This window comes from Homo sapiens, chromosome 21, assembly GCF_000001405.40.
Source record: "Homo sapiens chromosome 21, GRCh38.p14 Primary Assembly".
Taxonomy (NCBI): Eukaryota; Metazoa; Chordata; class Mammalia; order Primates; family Hominidae; genus Homo; species Homo sapiens.
The window spans coordinates 26,030,805-26,051,895 of NC_000021.9; the positions used below are offsets into that span (position 1 = coordinate 26,030,805).

At 39.3% G+C, this 21,091-nt stretch overlaps 1 protein-coding gene across 11 annotated transcripts in view; it reads right to left on the minus strand.

Annotated features, from left to right (window-relative positions):
* APP (amyloid beta precursor protein) overlaps window positions 1-21,091 on the minus strand; it is a 290,579-nt gene that overhangs the window by 150,255 nt on the left and 119,233 nt on the right. For all 11 annotated transcript variants that reach the window (NM_001136131.3, NM_001136129.3, NM_001136130.3 and 8 more), the window contains one exon: window positions 20,196-20,389. In NM_001136131.3, the coding sequence (NP_001129603.1) occupies window positions 20,196-20,389 (194 nt within the window). The remainder of the gene's footprint in view (window positions 1-20,195; window positions 20,390-21,091) is intronic.

The window sequence follows — 21,091 nt, forward strand, 5'->3', positions numbered from 1 at the left end:
AGCTGCTACTAAGGATGGGTGATCCATATATATTTTGGGTGGAGAGTTGGAAGTATATGACCTTTGGCTGTCTAACAAATATTTGAGTTCCAGGGTCTGCTCTGGAGTCTAGGGATGCTGCAGAGAATAAAGCAGACAAAATTCCCTGCCTTCCTGGTATTTACATTCTACAGGGAAGGAAAGATATAAGAAAACTAAAACAACGATGTTACACTAGCACATTACAAGGTGACAAGTGTTACAGAGAAAATGAAAGCAGCAAAGCTAGGGGTGGGCTGGGGCTGGTAGTTGGCCGGGCTGTTGCAGTTTCTACAGAAGATGGTAAAAGAAGATGCCCTGAAAAGGTGTCAATGCAGCAAGAACTATGTGCCTGGCATCTCCTTCCACTGTGTCCATACACATGAGAACTACTACACAGCTATAGGTGGTCTGTGTCCAAAATGGCTACAAAGCAACCTAGGAAAGTCACAAAGTAAGAGAAAAGCCTGGTCCTTTTCTTTTGGGGGCACTTTGTGAAGACCTATTCCTTAGAAAGAAGAGAGAAGCTGCATGCTTCTGGGCTTCTCCCCCTCTTTTTTGGGAAAAAATAATTGGTTCTGTTAAGGAAGTGTATCAGTCTGTTTTCATGCTGCTGATAAAGACATACCCAAGATTGGGGAGAAAAAGAGGTTTAATGGGACTTACAGTTCCACATGGCTGGGGAGGCCTCAGAATCATGGCGGGAGGTGAAAGGCATTTCTTACATGGTGGCGGCAAGAGAAAAATGAGGAAAAGGCAAGAGAAAAATGAGGAAGAAGCAAAAGCAGAAACCCCTGATAAACCCATGAGATCTTGTGAGACTTATTCATTATCGCAAGAATAGTACAGAGAAGATCAGCCCCCATGAATCAATTACCTCCCCTGGGTCCCTCCACAACATGTGGGAATTCTGGGAGATATAATTGAAGTTGATATTTGAATGGAGACACAGCCAGTCCATATCAGGAAGCAAAAACAACAAACTCTGCTCCTCCTTCCAGCACGCTCCCCAAAATGCAGCAATACCTTGTCCTGCCCCAGATTCGTAAGTGGAGCCCCATTCCTAGGAGAAAACAGATACATCTGCACCACTGATCCTCAGTGGCAGAATATGCCAGGTATCTGTCCAGGAGAAGAAGCCATGTGGCTCAGGCTACAGGGTTTATAGCCCAAGGCCTCCCTTGCCTCTGTGCTCTGAGGGCTTGAAGTAAGTAGAAAAGTACTTTAAATTGTATCATAAAGGTAAAGATGATGTAGCTTCTTGGGTTAGCCACAACATTTAGGAAAAGCATGTTCTGGAGAGGTAAGACTTTTAGTTGATTTTCCATTAGTGAGCTAACATTTTTCCTCTTCCAACAAGCCCACTTTCTTGCATTGGTAAGTATTAAGTATCTTTTTTTAAAGTATCTGTGGTTGGTTGGCATCTGAGAAATCTGTAGGGTCAAATATCAAATAGACACCCCTAGCACAATGCCACAAATGCACAAGGGATGAGGCTATGAAATTTGTGAATTCTTTTCCTTTCTCAAGGAACGACTACACTTACATATACTCCAGTTAATTGTATGTTCTAGTTATGTAGATCCTAGAGAGAAGGTCTAGTGTGGTGATTAATGGTGACTTTCCAGAGCTCAGCCACGTGGGTTTCATTCTCAGTGCTGCCACCTGCCAGCTCCAATGTGACTATGAACATGTCACTTAGGCTGCTGTGACTTGGTTTCCTCATCTTTAACATGGGATGGAAATATTAACCACCTCAGGGGATGGTGTGAACAGCCAATGATGTAAATAACACACTTGGAACAGCACATGATAAGAGTTAAATACTGTGCCTATTTACTGTTTTTAACTACAGCTTAAATGTATACTTATGACATTTCTTTTCTTTTTATTGCTATTAGGTTTTGAAAATGGTATAAAAATATCATTTGTTTTTCACAGGTAATGTTTTTCTTGGGGCTTATTATTTTAGAAAAAAAAAAAATATATATATATATATAAAGAGCTATCCTTTACTGGGCGCTATGCCTAGTAAGTTCCCAACTGCTGACTATAGGCTCAGAGCCCTGCAGAGATGGGATGTAAACAAGCATAAAACAGTGTTTTCAGTGAAGTGCATATTAACAATAATGGGCTGAACAAAGAATGTTCATTGGTGGAGTTTGGGAGGGACAGACTGAAGAATAATCTGTTGAAGAGGTAACAGGTAAACTGGGACATGATGAATGAATAGAAATCTACAAAGAAGGTAGCAAACAGGACACTGTAGAAACAGGGAATGGCACCCGTAGCAGATGAAGAGTGATATGGTTTGGCTGTGTCCTCACTCAAATCTCATCTTGAATTGTAATCCTCATAATCCCCATGTGTCTAGAGAAAGACCTGGTGGGACGGAATTGGATCATGGGAGTGGTTTCCCCATGCTGTTCTCGTGACAGTGAGGGAGTTCTCAGGAGATCTGACAGTTTTATAAGGGGCTGTTCCCACTCTGCTCCTCGCTCTTCTCTTTCCTGCCGCCTTATGAAGAAGGATGTGTTTGCTTCCCCTTCTGCCATGATTGTAAGTTTCCTGAGGCCTCCTCAGCCATGCAGAACTGTGAGTCAATTAAACCTCTTTCCTTTATAAACTACCCAGTCTTGGTTATATCTTTATAGCAGTGTGAAAATGGACTCATACAAAGAGTGCTACAGGAATTGCCAATTCTCAGTATGGTGGAGGAGGGGGTGGACTGCAGGAAGGGAGCTGACTAGCTGTAGCTCTGCTCTTTTATGAAGGGCTTTGTTTCACAGGCTGAGGAGTCTGGACCATCATCTAGATGCAGAGCCTAGTAGAAAAGCCTGAAGCAGAAGAGTGGCAAGGTTAGTTGTATTGCAACAAACATGAGCTAGCAGAAGCATGGAGGACAGATAGGTGGAGGAGCGACAGTTGGGATGTGAAGGCGGTGCTCGTGAAGCCTACTGAGAACTTGGATAAAATAACAGCACAGAACTGGTGACTGGGGATGAAGGGAGTGAGTAAGAGGAGGAATCTGATGCTTTGAGTTGGAGAATAGTTACTAATGGTAACAGAGGATACAGGAGGAATTAAGAAATGGAGCTAATGGGTTCAGCTTTGATCATGGTAGACTTGAGATTCTGTAAGACCCCGCTGGAGAGGCATACAGCAGACAGCTGAAAACAAAGAACAAAAAAATCTGAGCCACTAATACACAGGCACTGCTTTTCTATTTCCATTAAATAAACAGTGCTGCACTTTGTTGTTTTTTAAACTAAAGAGCTGCCATTCCTGAAAGACCACAGATAATAGACCAGATGCCCACTCACTTTCTGCATGGATAATATGTCCCACTGTGATACCATTATTTAAGTAGAAACAAAATCTAGCCTTATGAAGTCTAATTATACCATTCCTCCTCCTTCCTTCCCCTCTCTCTCCCTGCAAGCATAATTCAAGACTGCTTTCCCATTCAGAGATCTATGTGAGAATTTTAAAACATTGTTGCTGATTAGTCTCTCTAATCAATAAAAGAAATCTACTATCGGCCAGGCACGGTGGCTCAGGCCTGTAATCCCAGCACTCTGGGAGGCTGAGGCGGGCGGATCTTGAGGACAGGAGATCGAGACCATCCTGGCTAACACAGTGAAACCCCATCTCTACTAAAACACAAAAAATAGCTGGGCATGGTGGCGGGCGCCTATAGTCCCAGTTACTTGGGAGGCTGAGGCAGGAGAATGGCGTGAACCTGGGAGGCAGAGCCTGCAGTGAGCCAAGATCATGCCACTGCACTCCAGCCTGGGCGACAGAGCAAGACTTCTCAAAAAAAAAAAGAAAAAGAAAAAGAAAAAAAGAAAAGAAAAAGAAATCTATTATCGATTAGATTTGATAAATCTATTATTGACTAGAGAGACCAATCAGGAACAATGTCTAAAATTGTGTATGAAAAGCCATTCACTCATCAAATGCTAGTGGCTGCTAAGTGTCTGGCATTCTGCTGGATCCGAGGCTCCAAAAGGGAAAAAGATAAGCTCCCTGTACTCAGAGAGATTACATTCTATGGGGGGAGAGAACGACAACGAACCAATAAAATACTAAAATGTGATTCATTTCAGAATGGAAGTAAATAGGCTGCTAGGATTGAGAATAATGAAGAAGGGGTGTTTTCTTCAGAAAAGAATGATCAGGGCCAGGCATGGTGGCTCATGCCTGTAATTCTAGCACTCTGGGAGACGGAGGTGGGAGGACTGCTTGAGTTCAGGAGTTTGAGACAAGCCTGGGCAACAAAGTGAGATCTTGTCTCCACTAAAAATTAAAAAAAAATTAGCCAGGTGCAGCCTGTAGTCCCAGCTACTCAGGAGGATCTCCAGAGCCAGGGAGGTCAAGGCTACAGTGAGCCATGATCATGCCACTGCACTCCAGCCTAGGTGACAGAGCAGGACCTTGTCTCCAAAAAACAGAATGATCAAGGGAATTCATTCTGGAAAGATGGCAACAAAACTGAGGCTGAAGGTGGGACCTTGGAACATCCATTATAGACAATGAGATCTGTCAGCCCGGGGGTTAGCAAGCTGGGGATATTGACTTGTGTGACACTGAGCAGGGGAGAGTCGGGGGAAAGAGAGGCATGGGGTGATACTGCGGAGGTAGGGAGGAGCTGGGTCAAATACACTAATACCTGTAAGGAATGTAGGAGGTCAAACCTGACACCAACTACGTGTTTGTTAGTTGTTACCCGTTATCAATTATCCTCAGCATATCCAAATAAGGCTTCATTGTTTTCTCTCTGTGCACTTGGTTTTTAAGCGTATTGGTAAGCCACGAACACAACTTAAATTTGGGGGTTCCAGGATCTGCTTTATGTAAATAAACACTCTACATCCTGGCTGCTGTACAGAGAATGGCTTGGTGTGGGAGAAGAAAGCAGCGCATGTGTCAGGGAGAGAGAACGAGAGCAGAGATTAGCAGGATACGGAAATAACTCCAGCAAGAAACAATGGGAGTTTAGATTAGTGCTGGAAAAGATGGAGATAAGTGGATAAATCCAGAATTCATAGGATGTGCAGAAGAGACGATGATGAGTTCTAGGTTCTCAGCAATAATCCCTAGGAGAGGGCATAGGACCATTACTGAGATAGAATAGCTTTGAGAGAACCACATTGAGGACTGGGTAGCAGGGGAATTAAGAACTCTCATTTGGACATGTTAGGATTCATATGCCTATGAAATAACTAGGTAGAGTCTGGCCTAGAGAAATAAACCTTGGCCTAGTCTACTTACAAATGGTATTTAAAGTCAAGGGCATGGATTACAGCAATCAGGAAGAGCGAGCCAGAAAGAAAAATAGTATAATAATTGTAAAGAGATAGCCAGTGTCAGGAATTTAATGGATGAAATGTCAAAACAAAACAAAATCAGCCAAGACAGGATAATTAAAACCACAAAGGCTAGGGTGGGGGTGGGGGGTAGAACTGGGGGGTGGGCACTCCTAAAGCCTGCATAAACAATGTGTAGGAAAGACAGGCTGGAAATGACAGTGACACACAGGTTACTAGACAAAGGGCTTCTGAGAAATGGCAAAGGTAACCAATTCTAAGAACTTACTAATCTTAAGGTGATTTATAGATAAAAGTCCCATCCTATAAATGTCTGGATTCTTGAGCCCAGAGATATTCTGGGTCTGTCTGTACTGGTATTCTGCTGGGCAGGTAAAGGGGTTATGAAGAGAAGTACTATCTTACTTGCCTGTCAACTAATACTGATGACAGAGCAAAAGCGTCATGCACTTTACAGTCGTGGTCATAGCCAAAGATTGCAGATGTCCTAGACACAGTATTTGAGACAGAGAATGGAACATACATAGCCAAGTTACTAATATACATGTTGGGTAAGAAGATTCCCAAATGGAAGGAAGGTAAAAAAGCTCTGTTCTAGTACAACCATTTGAGGATAGTATGGAGATTCCTCAAAAAACTAAAAATAGAGCTACCATACGATCCAGCAATCCCACTACTGGGCATTTATCTAAAGGAAGAGAAATCAGTATATTAAAAGAGGTATCTGCACTCCCATATTTACTGCAGCACTACTCACAATAGCCAAGATATGGAATAACCTAGATGTCCAAAGAGACTAATGGATGAAGAAAATGTGATGTGTGTGTGTGTGTGTATGTGTGTGTGTCCGTGCGTGCATGCACGTATAATGAAATACTATTAAGCCATACAAAAGAATAAAATCCTGTCATTTGAAGCAACATGGATGGAACTGGAGGACATATGTTAAGTGAAATAAGCCAAAAACAGAAAGTTAAACACCACATGCTCTCATATGCAGAAGCTAGAAAATGTTGATTTCATAGACGTAAAGAGTAGAACAGAGGATGATGGAGGCTGGGAAGGGTAGGTAGAAACTGAGGATAGAGAAAGATTTGTTAAAGGATACCAAATTACAGCTAGATAAGAGGAATAAGTTCTAGTGCTCTACAGCACTGTAGGATGACTACAGTTAACAGTAATATATGACATAATCTCAAACAGCTAGAAGCAGGATATTGAATTTTCCCAACACAAAGAAATGATACATGCCTGAGATGAATATGCTGATCAGTCTGATCTGATCACTGTGTACCCTGTAAATGTGTACAATTATTACATGTCAATTTTTAAAAATAAAAATTTTTAAAAAGGTACCTTTTAATGAACGGTCTATGCTTAAAATGTTGCTAGGTGTGTTTCAACACCAATGAGTTATATCTGAGGTTGGACCATAACTAGACGAGGCACTTAGAGATGCGGTAACTGTGGTCTCAGCATCCTGTTCCACTGCACTTAGTTCCACCATCATTGTATTACAGTAAATGCAATATTGCTATCCTGTGACTACCTTGTAAACATATTTTCATAAAACCAAAGTGCTTCATTACCACTTCTGATATGTGTATGAGTCCTTGGCTCCAATTTTCCAATAATAGTAGCTATACAATTATGTTGAAAACCATTTGAGGCTAACCATTAACATTCAAATGACGTACAATGGGAAACGAATGAATAGTATATTCTAGGAGATAAAAGATCAAACCTTTGATATATCTTCTCTTACTTATTAGTAGTTAGAGTTTAAGATACAATATTTCTTCTAAAACCATTTCAAAAATATAATTTAAATATAAAATTGAAGATCCTAAAAAAGTATAGAAGTTTTAAAGTAGAATGACTTTGCTATTTGAATACCTATTTAAATTTCTATTTAAAATGTCCAAAACAGCCCAAATCAATTCTACCTTCATTTTTATAGCAGTTTTCTAATCATGAGACATCATACTTTCTAGTCCTTTTTGCTTCCCTAAAATAAAAAAACTCCTACATATTTAAATTCATAAATAAGAATTATCATTACTTGATTACTACCAAAACTAATTTTAATAATGTTCTCAACCTTATCTAGGATAGAAGTGCTTAAGGAGCCATTACGTATTATTATTGATTATGATTACAAGACCTACAATAATTTTAAAATAACTAATTAAAAAGGGAACATGTTATAATAGCCATGATTATCAAACCAGAGGTGGGAGATGAGTCATTGAGCCCCAAGGAGAGTCTTTGTATTCGACAGTGTGAGATGATGGGTAGAGAAGTGATTTGACTAAGAAAAAAATCACCCCAGCTGGCGCGGTGTCTCACGCCTGTAATCCCAGCACTTTGGGAGCCCGAGGCAGGCGGATCACCTGAGGTCAGGAGTTCGAGACCAGTCTGGCCAACGTGGTGATACCCTGTCTCTACTAAAAATGTAAAAACTAGCTGGGCGTGGTGGCAGGCACCCGTAATCCCAGCTACTTGGGAGGCTGAGGTAGGAGAATTGCTTGAACTCAGGAGACGGAGGTTGCAGTGAGCCGAGATTGTGCCACTGCACTCCAGTCTGGGCGACAGAGTCTTAAACAAACAAACAAACAAAAAAAACATCCCATGCTGCTGGCCTGCTCCCCCAACAATTCCAATCTACGCATTTTAAACAAGTCCACTGTAAACTTTACCGGCTTGATATGCATTTACACCAATTAGTCGTTTTGGAAGCAAATACCGTGATACAGATTATTGCAATTTTCCCCATGTTTGAGGTAAAGAAATAGGCTCAAAAAGATTATATATGAGGGTAAAGCACATTTTAAACCTTTGAAGATATTTTTGAAGCAAAGATTATCTTATTTACTTACAAGTCTTTTCTTTCCTTGACTACTTGGATGCGTCTATTACACCTGGTTTCTGTTTCCACCCAATGTCTTTTTAGGCAGGTTAGTTCTATCATCATGAAATCACTGTAAGTGCAATACTGCCCTTTCCTTCATGATGTCATTCATCTCTTTCCCAGTTTGTTATCTAACACGTATTAACATTTTAGTATCCAACTACATTAATCTCATGACTACTAGCATTGAAAGAACTGATAAAAAGATAAAAGCAAACCCTTACTGCCTGGTTTGACAATAAGTAACAGCTCTTCACAAAGGCTGGCAATTAGGTCACTAAGCAAAAAATCTTGGAAGACCAAATTCGACCAACAGCAAACAGTGGTCTCAAATGTAAAAGAAAACTTAGGTTATATGCTACGCTTACAATAGCAAATTATGTATACTGCTTGAATTACTATTGATCTAAATAAAATGGTGCTATGCTATAAAGATTATTTTCAAATAATTTCTAATATCAAACTATACTTTTGAATACCCTTGGCAAATCTTTTCCAGAATTACACATTCCTAAAACAATGAGCCAATCCACAGGCACGTGTGGCCTACTATATGCTCAACATTCACTTCTCTTTAAAACAATTTACATGACAAAACAAAGTACAACAGTGAACATTCATCAGTTGCACCTTCAAATGTCTGACAACACAATCAGATGATCTGTGTGTCCTTTACTTATTAAATTGATAACAAATAGAAAATAAAATGTAGATCTGAAGGAAGCACTTAATTTTTTTAATTTGCTCAATTGCAAAAAATTTATTTATATAAATATATAAAATGAATTGCTATATTAAAAGAATAATACAAATTAAAATACTATAAATAATAACTTGACTGCCTTACAAAATCAATTTGAGCTACTGTATTTACAGATTGAGTAATCCTTATCCAAACTGCCTGGGACCAGAAGTGTTTCAGATTTCAGATTTTTTTCAAATTTTGGGATATTTCCATACATATAAGATATGTTGGAGATGGGACCCAAGTATAAACATAAAATTCATTTATGTTTCAAAAATACCTTATACACACAGCCTGAAGGCAATTTTATACAACATTTTAAATAATTTTTGTTTCAGAAAGGAAGTTTGTATACATTGAACACATAAAGTCACATAATTTTCTACGTTTGCTGTCATGTCAGTGCTCAAAACATTTTGGATTTTAGGGCATTTCAGATTTTGGATTAGGGATGCTCAACCTGTATTTTATGGTAATAAACCGCATTTCTTTAAAAATATTGTACATTCTTGGCTGGGCATGGTAGCTTATGCCTGTAATCCCAGCACTTTGGGAGGCCGAGGCCAGTGGATCACTTGAGGTCAGGAATTCGAGACCAGCCTGACCAACATGGTGAAACCTCGTCTCTACTAAAAATACAAAAATTAGCCAGGCATGGTGGTTGGCACCTGTAATCCCAGCGACTCGGGAGGCTAAGGCAGGAGAATCGCTTGAACCTGGGAGGCAGAGGTTGCAGTGAGCCCAAATCACACCACTGCACTCCAGCCTGGGCAACAGAGTGAGACTCCGTCTCCATTAAAAAAAAAAAAAAAAAGCTGAGTGTGGAAGCAGGCACCTGTAATCCTCGGGAGACTGAGGCAGGAGTACCACTTGAACTTGGGAGGGGAGGTTGCAGTGAGCTGAGATTGCACCATTGCACTGCAGCCTGGGTGACAGAGCGAGACTCTATCTCAAAACAAACAAACAAACAAACAAACAAACAGTACATTCTAGAGTTTAAGCTAATGAAGACTGTTCTCCCAGTATCTCACTCCATACAAAAATATATATTAAAAATTCAGGTGATCATGGCTTTGGCTAAGTGGCATTAGTCTACCACCTACAATTTTACATTGAAACACTGGGGATACTGCAAATGTTACCTAGTAAACTAAAAGTGTTACTTTGTAAACAGGGAGGGCAAAAAAGGAAGCTAGTTAGCTCCCACTTGGGACAGATTTTGTTCACTCTCTACCTCTACTCAAAGGAAATAGTTTGAACATCTCTAAATTATTTTCGTAATAATTGCCTTCCTTCCAAAACAAACATGGACTTATAATTTTGCTGAGTTCCTTGTGGTAAGTTACTGGTACTAGTTTAAGCCACATGGCTCCCAAGTAAAGCCAACAGTTTTTGGCTTGATATGCTAATATGTAGATTTTGAGGCCACAGTAAAATTAATTAACTAATTAAAGGGTTATTTTTCCATGTCACAATGGAGAGTCCTATCTAAATTAGGGGTTTTACACTGAAGATACAAATATCCAGATGGTTTCAACAAGAAATTAATGTTTCGGTGTACTATTGCCAGAGACCAGTTAAAATCATAAGAATCTGTATTTTCTTCCTCTTTTCCTACTATTTTTAAGCCAGGGAATTTGTACAGTTTAATTAAAAGATACTGGAGGGAAGAAAAGAGTCCATGCATCAGTAGCTTAGGATCCTTAGCACTGAATAATCCAACCCTCCAAATAACTCTTACAAATGAATCCTACAGTATTTCTCATTCAGCAATATCCTGTTACTGGGGCAACCTGTGCCATTAGGTCTCAGTAAGCAGCACAGTCTCATTGCCAGATGTAGCTCAGACAGCAGCAACTCAAGCCCTGCACTACAGAGGCATCTCCTCTTCCAGCCATCACCTGCTTGGAAACAAAAACAGACCCCACTGGTTTGGCCACACATCTGTAATCTGCTTAAGGCTATAAAAGTGTTTTGCTTTTCTTTTTGACATACATGTAGTCCAAGTTTATTCAATACAGGAATCGAGCATTTCTAAATAAGGACCTCAAAACTGGCAGCCAGTTCCCTCAAAAGAAAATGCAAGTTTCTGCTATTCTCCTATTCGTCATTTTCAAATGAGTTCTCCTATTTCAGTATAGACAGTCAGAAAGCCTCACACAGTCCTGGAAGCTGCCAACCCAGCATTATGACAGCTGCTTCTCAAAGCCATGAGCCATTTCATTAAATCCACTCTTACTTGACTCATCCACTGGCAAAGATTTAAAGCTTTAATTTATCTTTTGTATGATTCACTTTGCGGCCCTCTAAAGTTGTTAGGTTTTTTTTCCTTGAGCATTTAATATCATTTCTCAAAATGCAATGCAGAAAGGCAGCTGAAAGATTATATATTCAAAAACTTGTAACTCCAGAGATACAAATAAAAAGATATATAGTCAAATACAGCCTCTCTTTCTCTCTCACCTAATTTTAAAGACAAAGTACTGAATAGACATAAATTCTCATGACAGCCTGAGCTCATCAGGTAAGGCTATGAATGTTTCAACATCACTAGCTAAGTGGAAGACGGCATGTGCATAATTTATTACATGATTGAATGACAAGTTTTCACTAACTACAAATCATGTATTTGTGAAATGCACCATCTATAATACCATCTGGTTATTATTTTCTGAGAAAAGTTCTCAGAGCACAATGACCATAATTAAATTTGCTTTTGACTAGATGTAGCACTGTGCCACCTACAAATTGAGCCTGTGCAAGCGTTTTATGATGACTGCATTGATTATTGTTATCAAGATTTCACCCCTTGGTCTGGCGTGGTGGCTCATGCCTGTAATCTCAACACTTTGGGAGGCCCAGGCAGGAGGATCACTTGAGGCCAGGAGTTTGAAAACAGTCTGGGCAACATAGTGAGACCCCTGTCTCTACAAAAAAAATAAATAAATCAAAATAAATTAGGCAGGCATGGTGGCAATGTGTTTGTAGTCTTAGCCATTTGGGAGGCTGAGGCAGGAGGATCACTTGAGCCCAGGAGTTCAAGGTTACACTGATCTATGGTTGCAATACTGCACTCCAGCATGTGTGACAGCAAGAACCTGTCTCCTAAAAAAAAAAATCACTTTAATATAGTATCTGGAACATATCAAATGCTCAAGAGGTTTAGTGCCCTTCATTACACTGGAGGAAAAAGGTGACATTTTGTACCTCTGCATGCTCAGATACAGTTTGTTTTTGAGTTGGAAATATTTCATACTTCATCTTTTCTTATTCTTACAATTTTCCTTTATTTATAATGTAGCCATCCCTCTTCTGCCCATGGAAATAATGAAACATGGGACCCATCATGCTATGTTATTAGACTCCTGATGCAATTTTACTTAATTACTGCATGTCTAGAATGATATTCCTTAGTTTTTCTTTTCTTTTCTTTTCTTTTTTTTTTGAGACAGAGTCTTGCTCTGTTGCCCAGGCTGAAGTGCAGTGGTGCGATCTCAGCTCACTGCAACCTCCACCTCCTGGGTTCAAGCGATTCTCTGGCAGTCTCCCCAGTAGCTGGGATTACAGGCACATGCCACCATGCCTGGCTATTTTGTATTTTTAGTAGAGAGGGGGTTTTTCCATGTTGGCCAGGCTGGTCTTGAACTCCTGACATCAAGAGATCTGCCAGCCTCGGCCTCCCAAAGTGCTGGGATTACAGGCATGAGCCACCATGCCTGGCCTAGTTTTTCTTTTTTAAAGACCAGTTAGTTTTGGTGACACTATTAACCTTAAGTTAACATGATGACGTAGGTGTATGTGTTTGATGTGAATGCCAATGTGATTCAACTCAAATACTTGTTGAGCACCTAACTACCTAACTTATAGAAAATTATGCCAAGTATTTTCCTGCATCAGGTTGTACAGGCCTCATAATAAATGTAAATTCTTGGTAAGTAGGATAGGCTGTTAACCTTTAGAATACCATCAGGTCTTGGACACAATTTTACCTTTGAGTTCTGAGCACTTCTAACTACTTGTGGGCTGATATTCTCACTTTATCCATTCATAGAGAAAAAGAAATTTAATCGACTAAAACTCATTCTAGCTTGTACTTAACCATGAGTCTGAGATATGGTATGAACCTCGATCTTTTTCCTATATTGTGTTCCTATGTTACAAAATATTTATCATCCGAAGAATTATTTCATCATTAGCCATCAACTATTTAAAAACTGTGCTAAAGAAGACAAAATAATATGAGCATGAAAGAATGATATAATTGCCTAGAAAGGTGATGCAATAGGGAAATTATCACATTTTTATTGCTGTGTTCCCAAAGTACTGCATCATCTTTCAAGATGGTTTAAAAAAAGTCTGCATAGTCCCAGCTACTTGGGATGTTGAGGCATGAGGATCACTTGAGCCCAGGAGTTTGCAGCTGTAATGCACCATACTCACACCAGTGAATAGCCACTGCGCTCAAGTCTGGGCAACAGAGTGAGGTCCCATCTCTTTAAAAAGCATGATAAAAAGAAGTCTGGAGACTCACTGAATATAGTCAAAAATCATCTTCCACATATTGGCAAATAGGAACAACTGACAGAAGGAGGCATTTTACCAATTAGATAAACCAGAAGAAGAATGAAATTGATCACGTAAGTAAAACCTTAGGCTATGAGCCTTCACATGATATCCTAGATGAATTTTCTCAAGCTCAAGAATTGACAAGTGAGCAATGTATTTCTTTCTTTCTTTCTTTCTTTTTTGAGGTGGAGTTTCGCTCTTATTGCCCAGGCTGGAGTGTGATGGTGCAATCTTGGCTCACTGCAACCTCTGCCTCCCTGGTTCAATTGATTCTCCTGCCTCAGCCTCCCGAGTAGCTGGGATTACAGGCATGCGCCACCACGCCTAGCTAATTTTGTATTTTTAGTAGGGATGGGCTTTCTCCATGTTGGTCAGGCTGGTCTCGAACTCCCAACCTCAGGCGATCGGCCCACCTCGGCCTCCCAAAGTGCTGGGATTACAGGCGTGAGCTACTGCGCCCGGCTGAGCAATGTATTTCTAAGAATAAAAAGGAAATATGGTATTCTCATCCACTTAGTCATTCAACAGGAAGGATATCATCACTCAATATTATGTGACAAAAACATTAACCATCATTGCTAAAATGATGTGACAGTATTCCTTGCCATTTTATGATGCTTATGCAACACATTTTATGTCTGTGCAACACATTTATTTGATACCATTAGGAAGTGGACAAATGCCCAAGGCAGGAATCTCTCTAAGGTGATTAGAAGAGATAATGCAGAAAAAAAGGGGGAAAAAAAGACTGGCTTGATCATTTTAATAGCTGTTTACAAATCCAAACTTGAAAACATTTTATTCCTGAGGGAAGATGGCTATATTCTCTCTTCAATAAAATTATGAGCTGTCAATGTTTTAAATATCTTAAATTTTTACAATAATTAAATGAAATTGCAAGTATAAAAAAAAAAGACCAAGAAATATGATGAACCTAATAGAGATGTATTTGAAATGTAGAACCAGTATTTGTAAGACGGATATATTTCAGGTTCGTGCATGGCAGGTGATTAGCAGCTAGCTGCATTCCAAAGGATAATGCTCATTTCAGAAATCCATACCTTCAAAACTGGGAAAATACAGAATAAACATGTGGGTTTACCATATTTAAATTCTTCGTAAAATTAAAATATTTACTATGTTAACTCTTATTAAAATTGCTAATAGTTATTTCTCACTATTCCTTTATTCTTAGTTCTGTAAATTGTTTACCAAATAATCTAAAAATATGAAACAATAATAATATAAACGGCCCACTGTATCTAGATAGTCAATGGTGCTGGCCTGGTTTTCTGGTGTAGTTAGAGGGCAAGGTGACGTCTTGCCATATGTGACACTCCAGCAATCACCAGAACTGATGAAGTTTAAACTGGGTTCAATACGGAATTGTATATTCCAATGCACGCACACCTGCATACATGGCCATACGCACCCACACAAGCCACCCCGAGCTGTATTAGTTCATTTGCATGTTGCCGATAAAGGCATACCTGAGACTGGGTAATTTACAGAAGAAAGAGGTTTAACTGGACTTACAGTTCCACATGGCTGGGGAAGCCTCACAATCACGGTGGAAGGCAAGGAGGAGCAAGTCATGTCTTACATGTATGGCAGCAGGCAAAGAGAGAGAACTTGTGCAGGGGAACCCCTCTTTTTAAAACCATCAGATCTCGTGAGACTTATTCACTTCACAGGAACAGCATGGGAAAGACTTGCCCCCATGATTCAATTGCCTCCCACCGAGTCCCTTCCACAACACATGGGAATTCAAGAAGAGATCTGGGTGGGAAAAAAGCCAAAACATATCACTGCCCCCCAAACCAGAGAGTAACATTAACTAACCTGGCCAACATGGTGAAACCCTGTCTCTACTAAAAATACAAAAATTAGCTGGGTGTGGTGGTGAACACCTGTAATCCCAATTACTCGGGAAGCTGAGTCAGGAGAATCGTTTGAACCCAGGAGGCAGAGGTTGCAGTGAGCCAAGATCACACCACTGTACTCCAGCCTGGGCAACAAGAGCAAAAACTTCATCTTAAAAAAAAAAGAAAAAGAAAAAGAAAAAAAAAAACTCTTCCAAGTTATACAGTCTTAATGAAAATAAGACACGGTCAAAAGGAATCACTCCTCCAGATCTTAAGCAGCTCTTTAAAAAAAAAATGTTCAAAGAAATAGAAAAAAAAAATCATCTAATTATCCAGAAAGATACATCAAGTTACCTCTCAGCACACGCTCACCAGTGTCTGCAAACCTAAACCTAAAAGAATACATCGATAATTAAAGATTGTTTCTTAAAAAAAATGTGAGTACCTCCTCTGCAAGAGGAAAAGTGTGACTCTACAACAATTAGAGGGTCTTCTAACATTTCATTTGCTTTACGAATTCAGCAACCCCCATGGACCACTGGGTTCAATCAGATTCTGCAGTTCCAGGTGAGGAGCAGCTCTGCCTCCAGGGCTAGGCTGCCTACCTGGCTAGTCTTACAAGTTAGCTTTCCAAATGAATTTTCCCATGGAAAAAAATCTTACCCACGATGGCTGGAGTCTGTGTATTATTAACATTATGTACGTAATTATTATTATTAACATTATGCTACATAATGTTAGTAACAGTCTGGATTATGCTACATTACAGACTGCATAAATAGGTATTTTGAGGTGATCTGAGAATATGACCATTACAACACTGGAGAAAAATATACTCGGTAATTTACACATAAATTTCTGAAACACTACCTGTTTTGCCTATGTTAAAGATTTACCTCTTTTTCATACCTCTTTTTCAATGAGGTCATAAAACAGAGCTCATCCTACAAGGAATGTTTCTCTAAATGCCCCATTAGCGATAGAAAAACACTCATCTTCTATCAAAACAAGCCTCATTAACTACCAAACAACAAAATACTGTGAATCAAATATTGTTTCCAGGAAAATGGTAGCTCGTTTCTCCTTCTTCAAGAATTGTCACGTAGCATCCCCTGAAGATGTTTTAAGTCAGGTACGTTAAACTTCTATTCTGATTTTACATTTCAAGTGTCAAAAGGAGGGCTGGTTCCTGGAACAAGGAGGCTGCCAGTTGGCAGGAGCCCACCTTGTGTGTGGATCAGTGATGCAACACCTTTCTGGTTTTGTCCACATGAAAGAAGCCCTGCCCGCCTGCAGGGCTACAGGAAAAGAAGTTAAAAAATAAAATGGTGCAAGTGACCTGATATACTAATTATACTGAATCCAAACCAATTTTTTTAAATTTTAAAAACAAGAATAGTTAAAAACAATAATAAAAATTCAGTGGCTCAGCCTTAGAAAACATTACTAGGTTATACAAACCGTCTGTCTTAATGGAAAAATAAAGAGTGATAAGAAATTTCAAGTCATCCAGGAACTACACTGTCCAAATATAGTAGTCACCAGCCACATGTAACTATCAAACACAGTGTGTGGCTAGTATGAATTGAGACGTGCTGTTAAATGTTAAAAGAAGTGTTAAGACTTCTTACGAAAGAAAGAAACATAAAAAAAGAATGTGAACTATCTTATTAAATTTTTCATATTGGTCACATGATATTTCAGATATACTGGATTAAATAAAATGTTGTTAAAATTAAATTCACCTGTTTCTTTTTACTATTTTTAAACTGTCTATTAGAAAATGAAAAAGTAAGGCCAGGCACGGTGGCTCAAGCCTGTAATCCCAGCACTTTGGGAGGCTGAGGTTGGTGGATGACGAGGTCAGGAGTTCGAGATCAGCCCGGCCAACATGGTGAAACCCCACCTCTACTAAAAGTACAAAAAAAAAAAAATTAGCTGGGCATGCTGGCACATGTCTGTAATCCCAGCTACTTAGGAGGCTGAGGCAGGAGAATCGCTTGAACCCGGGAGGTGGAGGTTGCAGTGAGCCGAGATCACGCCACTGCACTCCAGCCTGGGTGACAGAGCGAGACTCCATCTTAAAAAAAGAAAACGAAAAAGTATGTGGCTCACATTACATTTGTATTAGACAGTTCTTTGCTAAAAGATGGGAGGCTCTATAACAGGGCCTATAGAAAAAAAAAGGCAAAAAAATTTCATAATGTTTTAAGAAAGTTTATGAATTTGTGTTGGTCCGCATTCAAAGTCGTCCTGGGCAGTGGGCTGGATAAGCTTTCTACAATATCCAATCGTGGACCATGAAGTCCTTACCAAAAGCTATGAAAAAAAATTTAAAATATACAATTTACTTTGTCTAATATTTATTGAGGACCTATGTGCAAGACATACCAGACACATAAACTATAGTTTGGATTCTAACAGATAAAAAGAGATATGACTACAATTAATTGGAAGATAAGTTATGGTCTTATAAGAAAAAGGTAAAGCAAGGGTAGTATAGCAGAGCAAGGCACCTGTAAAGACTTGTAAAGGCTGCATCTTTTCAGGTGAACATTTATAAATATATAGATTTTGACGGGTCATAAGAAGTGGCACTTTAGAGTTGACAAATATCTTTATCATACATTAACCCCATTTGACAAAAAAAGGAAAAATATTTCAGATGGGGCAGAACGGTGGGAATGAAAGCCTAGAGAAAGAAAAGGTCAATGGTTTTAGGATGCCAGGAGAGTCACATACATGTATAAGGCTGAAAATGCAGGCTGAAGCCATGTAAGAGACTTCTGAATGCCCTGCAAGAGAATTTGGACTTTTCTACAGGTAGAATAAACCATCAAATATTTCCTACCAACTGTCAACAGGATTAAAAACACATAGTAGAAAGATAGTAACACATGGGAAAGAATTATCTGGGAGGAGGGTGGATGAAGCCTGGGGGTGTGGGGGAGAGGGAGACTGAAAATGCAAGAAAGGGAGAGGAGATGATTGAGAGTCCAGCAGAACATAATCATAAAAGGGAAGACAGGAAACAAAGGGATAGAAGAAGGTACAAGAGTTGCTGAAGTACAGGAGAAAATTCAATGGTTTATTCAACAAACACGTACTGGGCACCTACCAAATGTCAGGTACCATGTTGCAGAAATTCACAATGGATGACGGTGGAGGGGTCATCTGTAGAGCATGAGAGAGAGTTACGCTGGGAACCAAGGAGAATGAAGTTGGGCTGGATCAACTGCTATGGGGAAGATGATAGGTCATCAAGACAGAGATAATTAGGTGCATCTAGTAACATTAAGATCCCAGCTGATGTTACAGCATGAATAAGAAATGGAATTAAGTGGTAAGGTTACATGACTTGATACTTTAGAAATCCCAGAAGCAACTAAAGAAAGAAATTAATTTTTCCTAGCTATGGAGAATTGACAAAAATATGTTTAGAAAATGTGAAGGGTTTCAGCCAAGTCAAGGATGTTCAATGGAATAGGTAAGAATGGTTATCCATTGATTCCATCCTGATTAGAAAGGCAGGCAGGGAAAAAGAGGATAATGGACTAAAAGCCTGAACTGGGGAGGTGATTATGAGGGAAGATCATGATCAGAGAGGAATATCAAAGCTATAAACCTTATGGTACTATTTCTAAGGAATTTCAGAGTCTAAAGCATGACTGTGTTCAGGTACTGAAATGGGATGTAAATGAAGGTAACTAGGAAGGAGCTGGCTAGCATTTCAACTGAATATCAACCTGGATAGTGACATCATCACTGAAGACTGTAATTGGTGGGGGTAACCATATGACCCAGTTTGCCTGGATCCTTCAGTTTATGACTGTGGTCCCAGTGTTCTAGCTGATATAGACAATAAACTCTATGGGGGCCCTAGTAGCAGATTACACCAGAAATTAAAAGAAAAAAAAACAAGCATCCTGTAGTTTGCCGATTATAAACTTACAACTCCTATTGAATGTGCTGTTTGGAAATCTGTAGCTCTAGGGAACATCTAAGAGAATACTGAAGGAATAAGATAAGTGATACAATCATCACCCTTCGGGGGATGAGACAGCATAAAATCAATGCCTGAACCAGATGGCATTTCCAACCCAAAGATTCTCATTTTATAATTTTATGATTTGAATATAGATGTTTGCCTTCAGTTAAGAATGAGAATCAGGTAAGAAGTAACGGGACTAAGCTCCCTAAGAAAAAGAGGCGAAAATAGGTTTCTTTACAATCAACAAATCAAAGGTAGTTAAAAAAAATTAACAAGCATTTATTAATGCCTTTGACTTCCACTATGAAGGAAAAGAAATGATAAAAGGCCAAAAAAAAACCCTTACACATCCACACAGAGAACGCCCAAAATCTCAAACCAAACCTTTAACGAAAATTCACCTTAAACTAATGACTGACAATCCCAGAGAGCATTTAAAAATATTTTTAAATTAATGACCAAAACAGAACGCCATTATTATTTCAACTCCCTGTTAGAACTACCAGTAACCTATGATAGTTATCAGTGGGATTTTGATCCCAAGTTTAATATTAAATAGTTAAAATTAACTCTGTGATGGGTGACTGATATTATTAATTCAACAGGATGCCATAAAAATTCATAGTTCAGATTTTTGCATAACAGCAGACTCTGATGGGAGTGGGCAGAGACCTTTTCAGTGATAAACAGAAAGATTAATTTACAGGATACAAATACTCCATACAAGATGTTTCAGCATCTCTGAGGCTGAACACAAAGGCCACCTTACCTCCCATCTGCATAGTCTGTGTCTGCTCCGCCCCACCAGACATCCGAGTCATCCTCCTCCGCATCAGCAGAATCCACATTGTCACTTTCTTCAGCCAGTGGGCAACACACAAACTCTACCCCTCGGAACTTGTCAATTCCGCAGGGCAGCAACATGCCGTAGTCATGCAAGTTGGTACTCTTCTCACTGCATGTCTACAAAGTGTAAGGAGAAAACAGTGAGTGGTAGAGTAGATGTGTTTCATTGTAAGAAAACTCCACATAAAATAATCAACATGCAGACCCAATATATTAGGAACCAATTTCACAAAGGAAAAGATTATTTGCTTTTTGAGTGAATTTACAACAGGATTTTTTTTAGCATGGGTTACACTTTGGTACTCTTTTTATTCTTGTTTATTATTTATTTAATAAGACCACGATGTTATATAATAGAGGTTTATACGAACAACTGGAATGGAAACTAATTGGGAAATAAGATGTAGCAGTCTCCACTGGTGAACAGATACCAGAGAATTAATGCCTTCTGGCTTAATTCGTGTATCCAGAAATTGTGCGCATTCCAGGTAGATCCCCAGCTCACTCCTACCTCCCTTACAGATGGAAGTTTATCTCACATGGACCTGCCTTATCCTAGAAATTCTGACTCTCTTGGTTCACTTTCAGAGTAACAATCCTGGGAAGAGAAGAAATTATCCCCTGCAGCCACTAAGAATCAGAACTTACAGTCATTAGAGATTTCTCCTTGAATGTCTTTTTGCTTTTCTGGGATTTGCTAAATTTGCACAAATCTAGATTAGCATAAAGTTCTGAGAGCATCCACTAGTGATAAATGAAGGATGAATAATTCAAGACATAAAGGTAGACAATGAAAATATTACAGACTGTATTTTGACC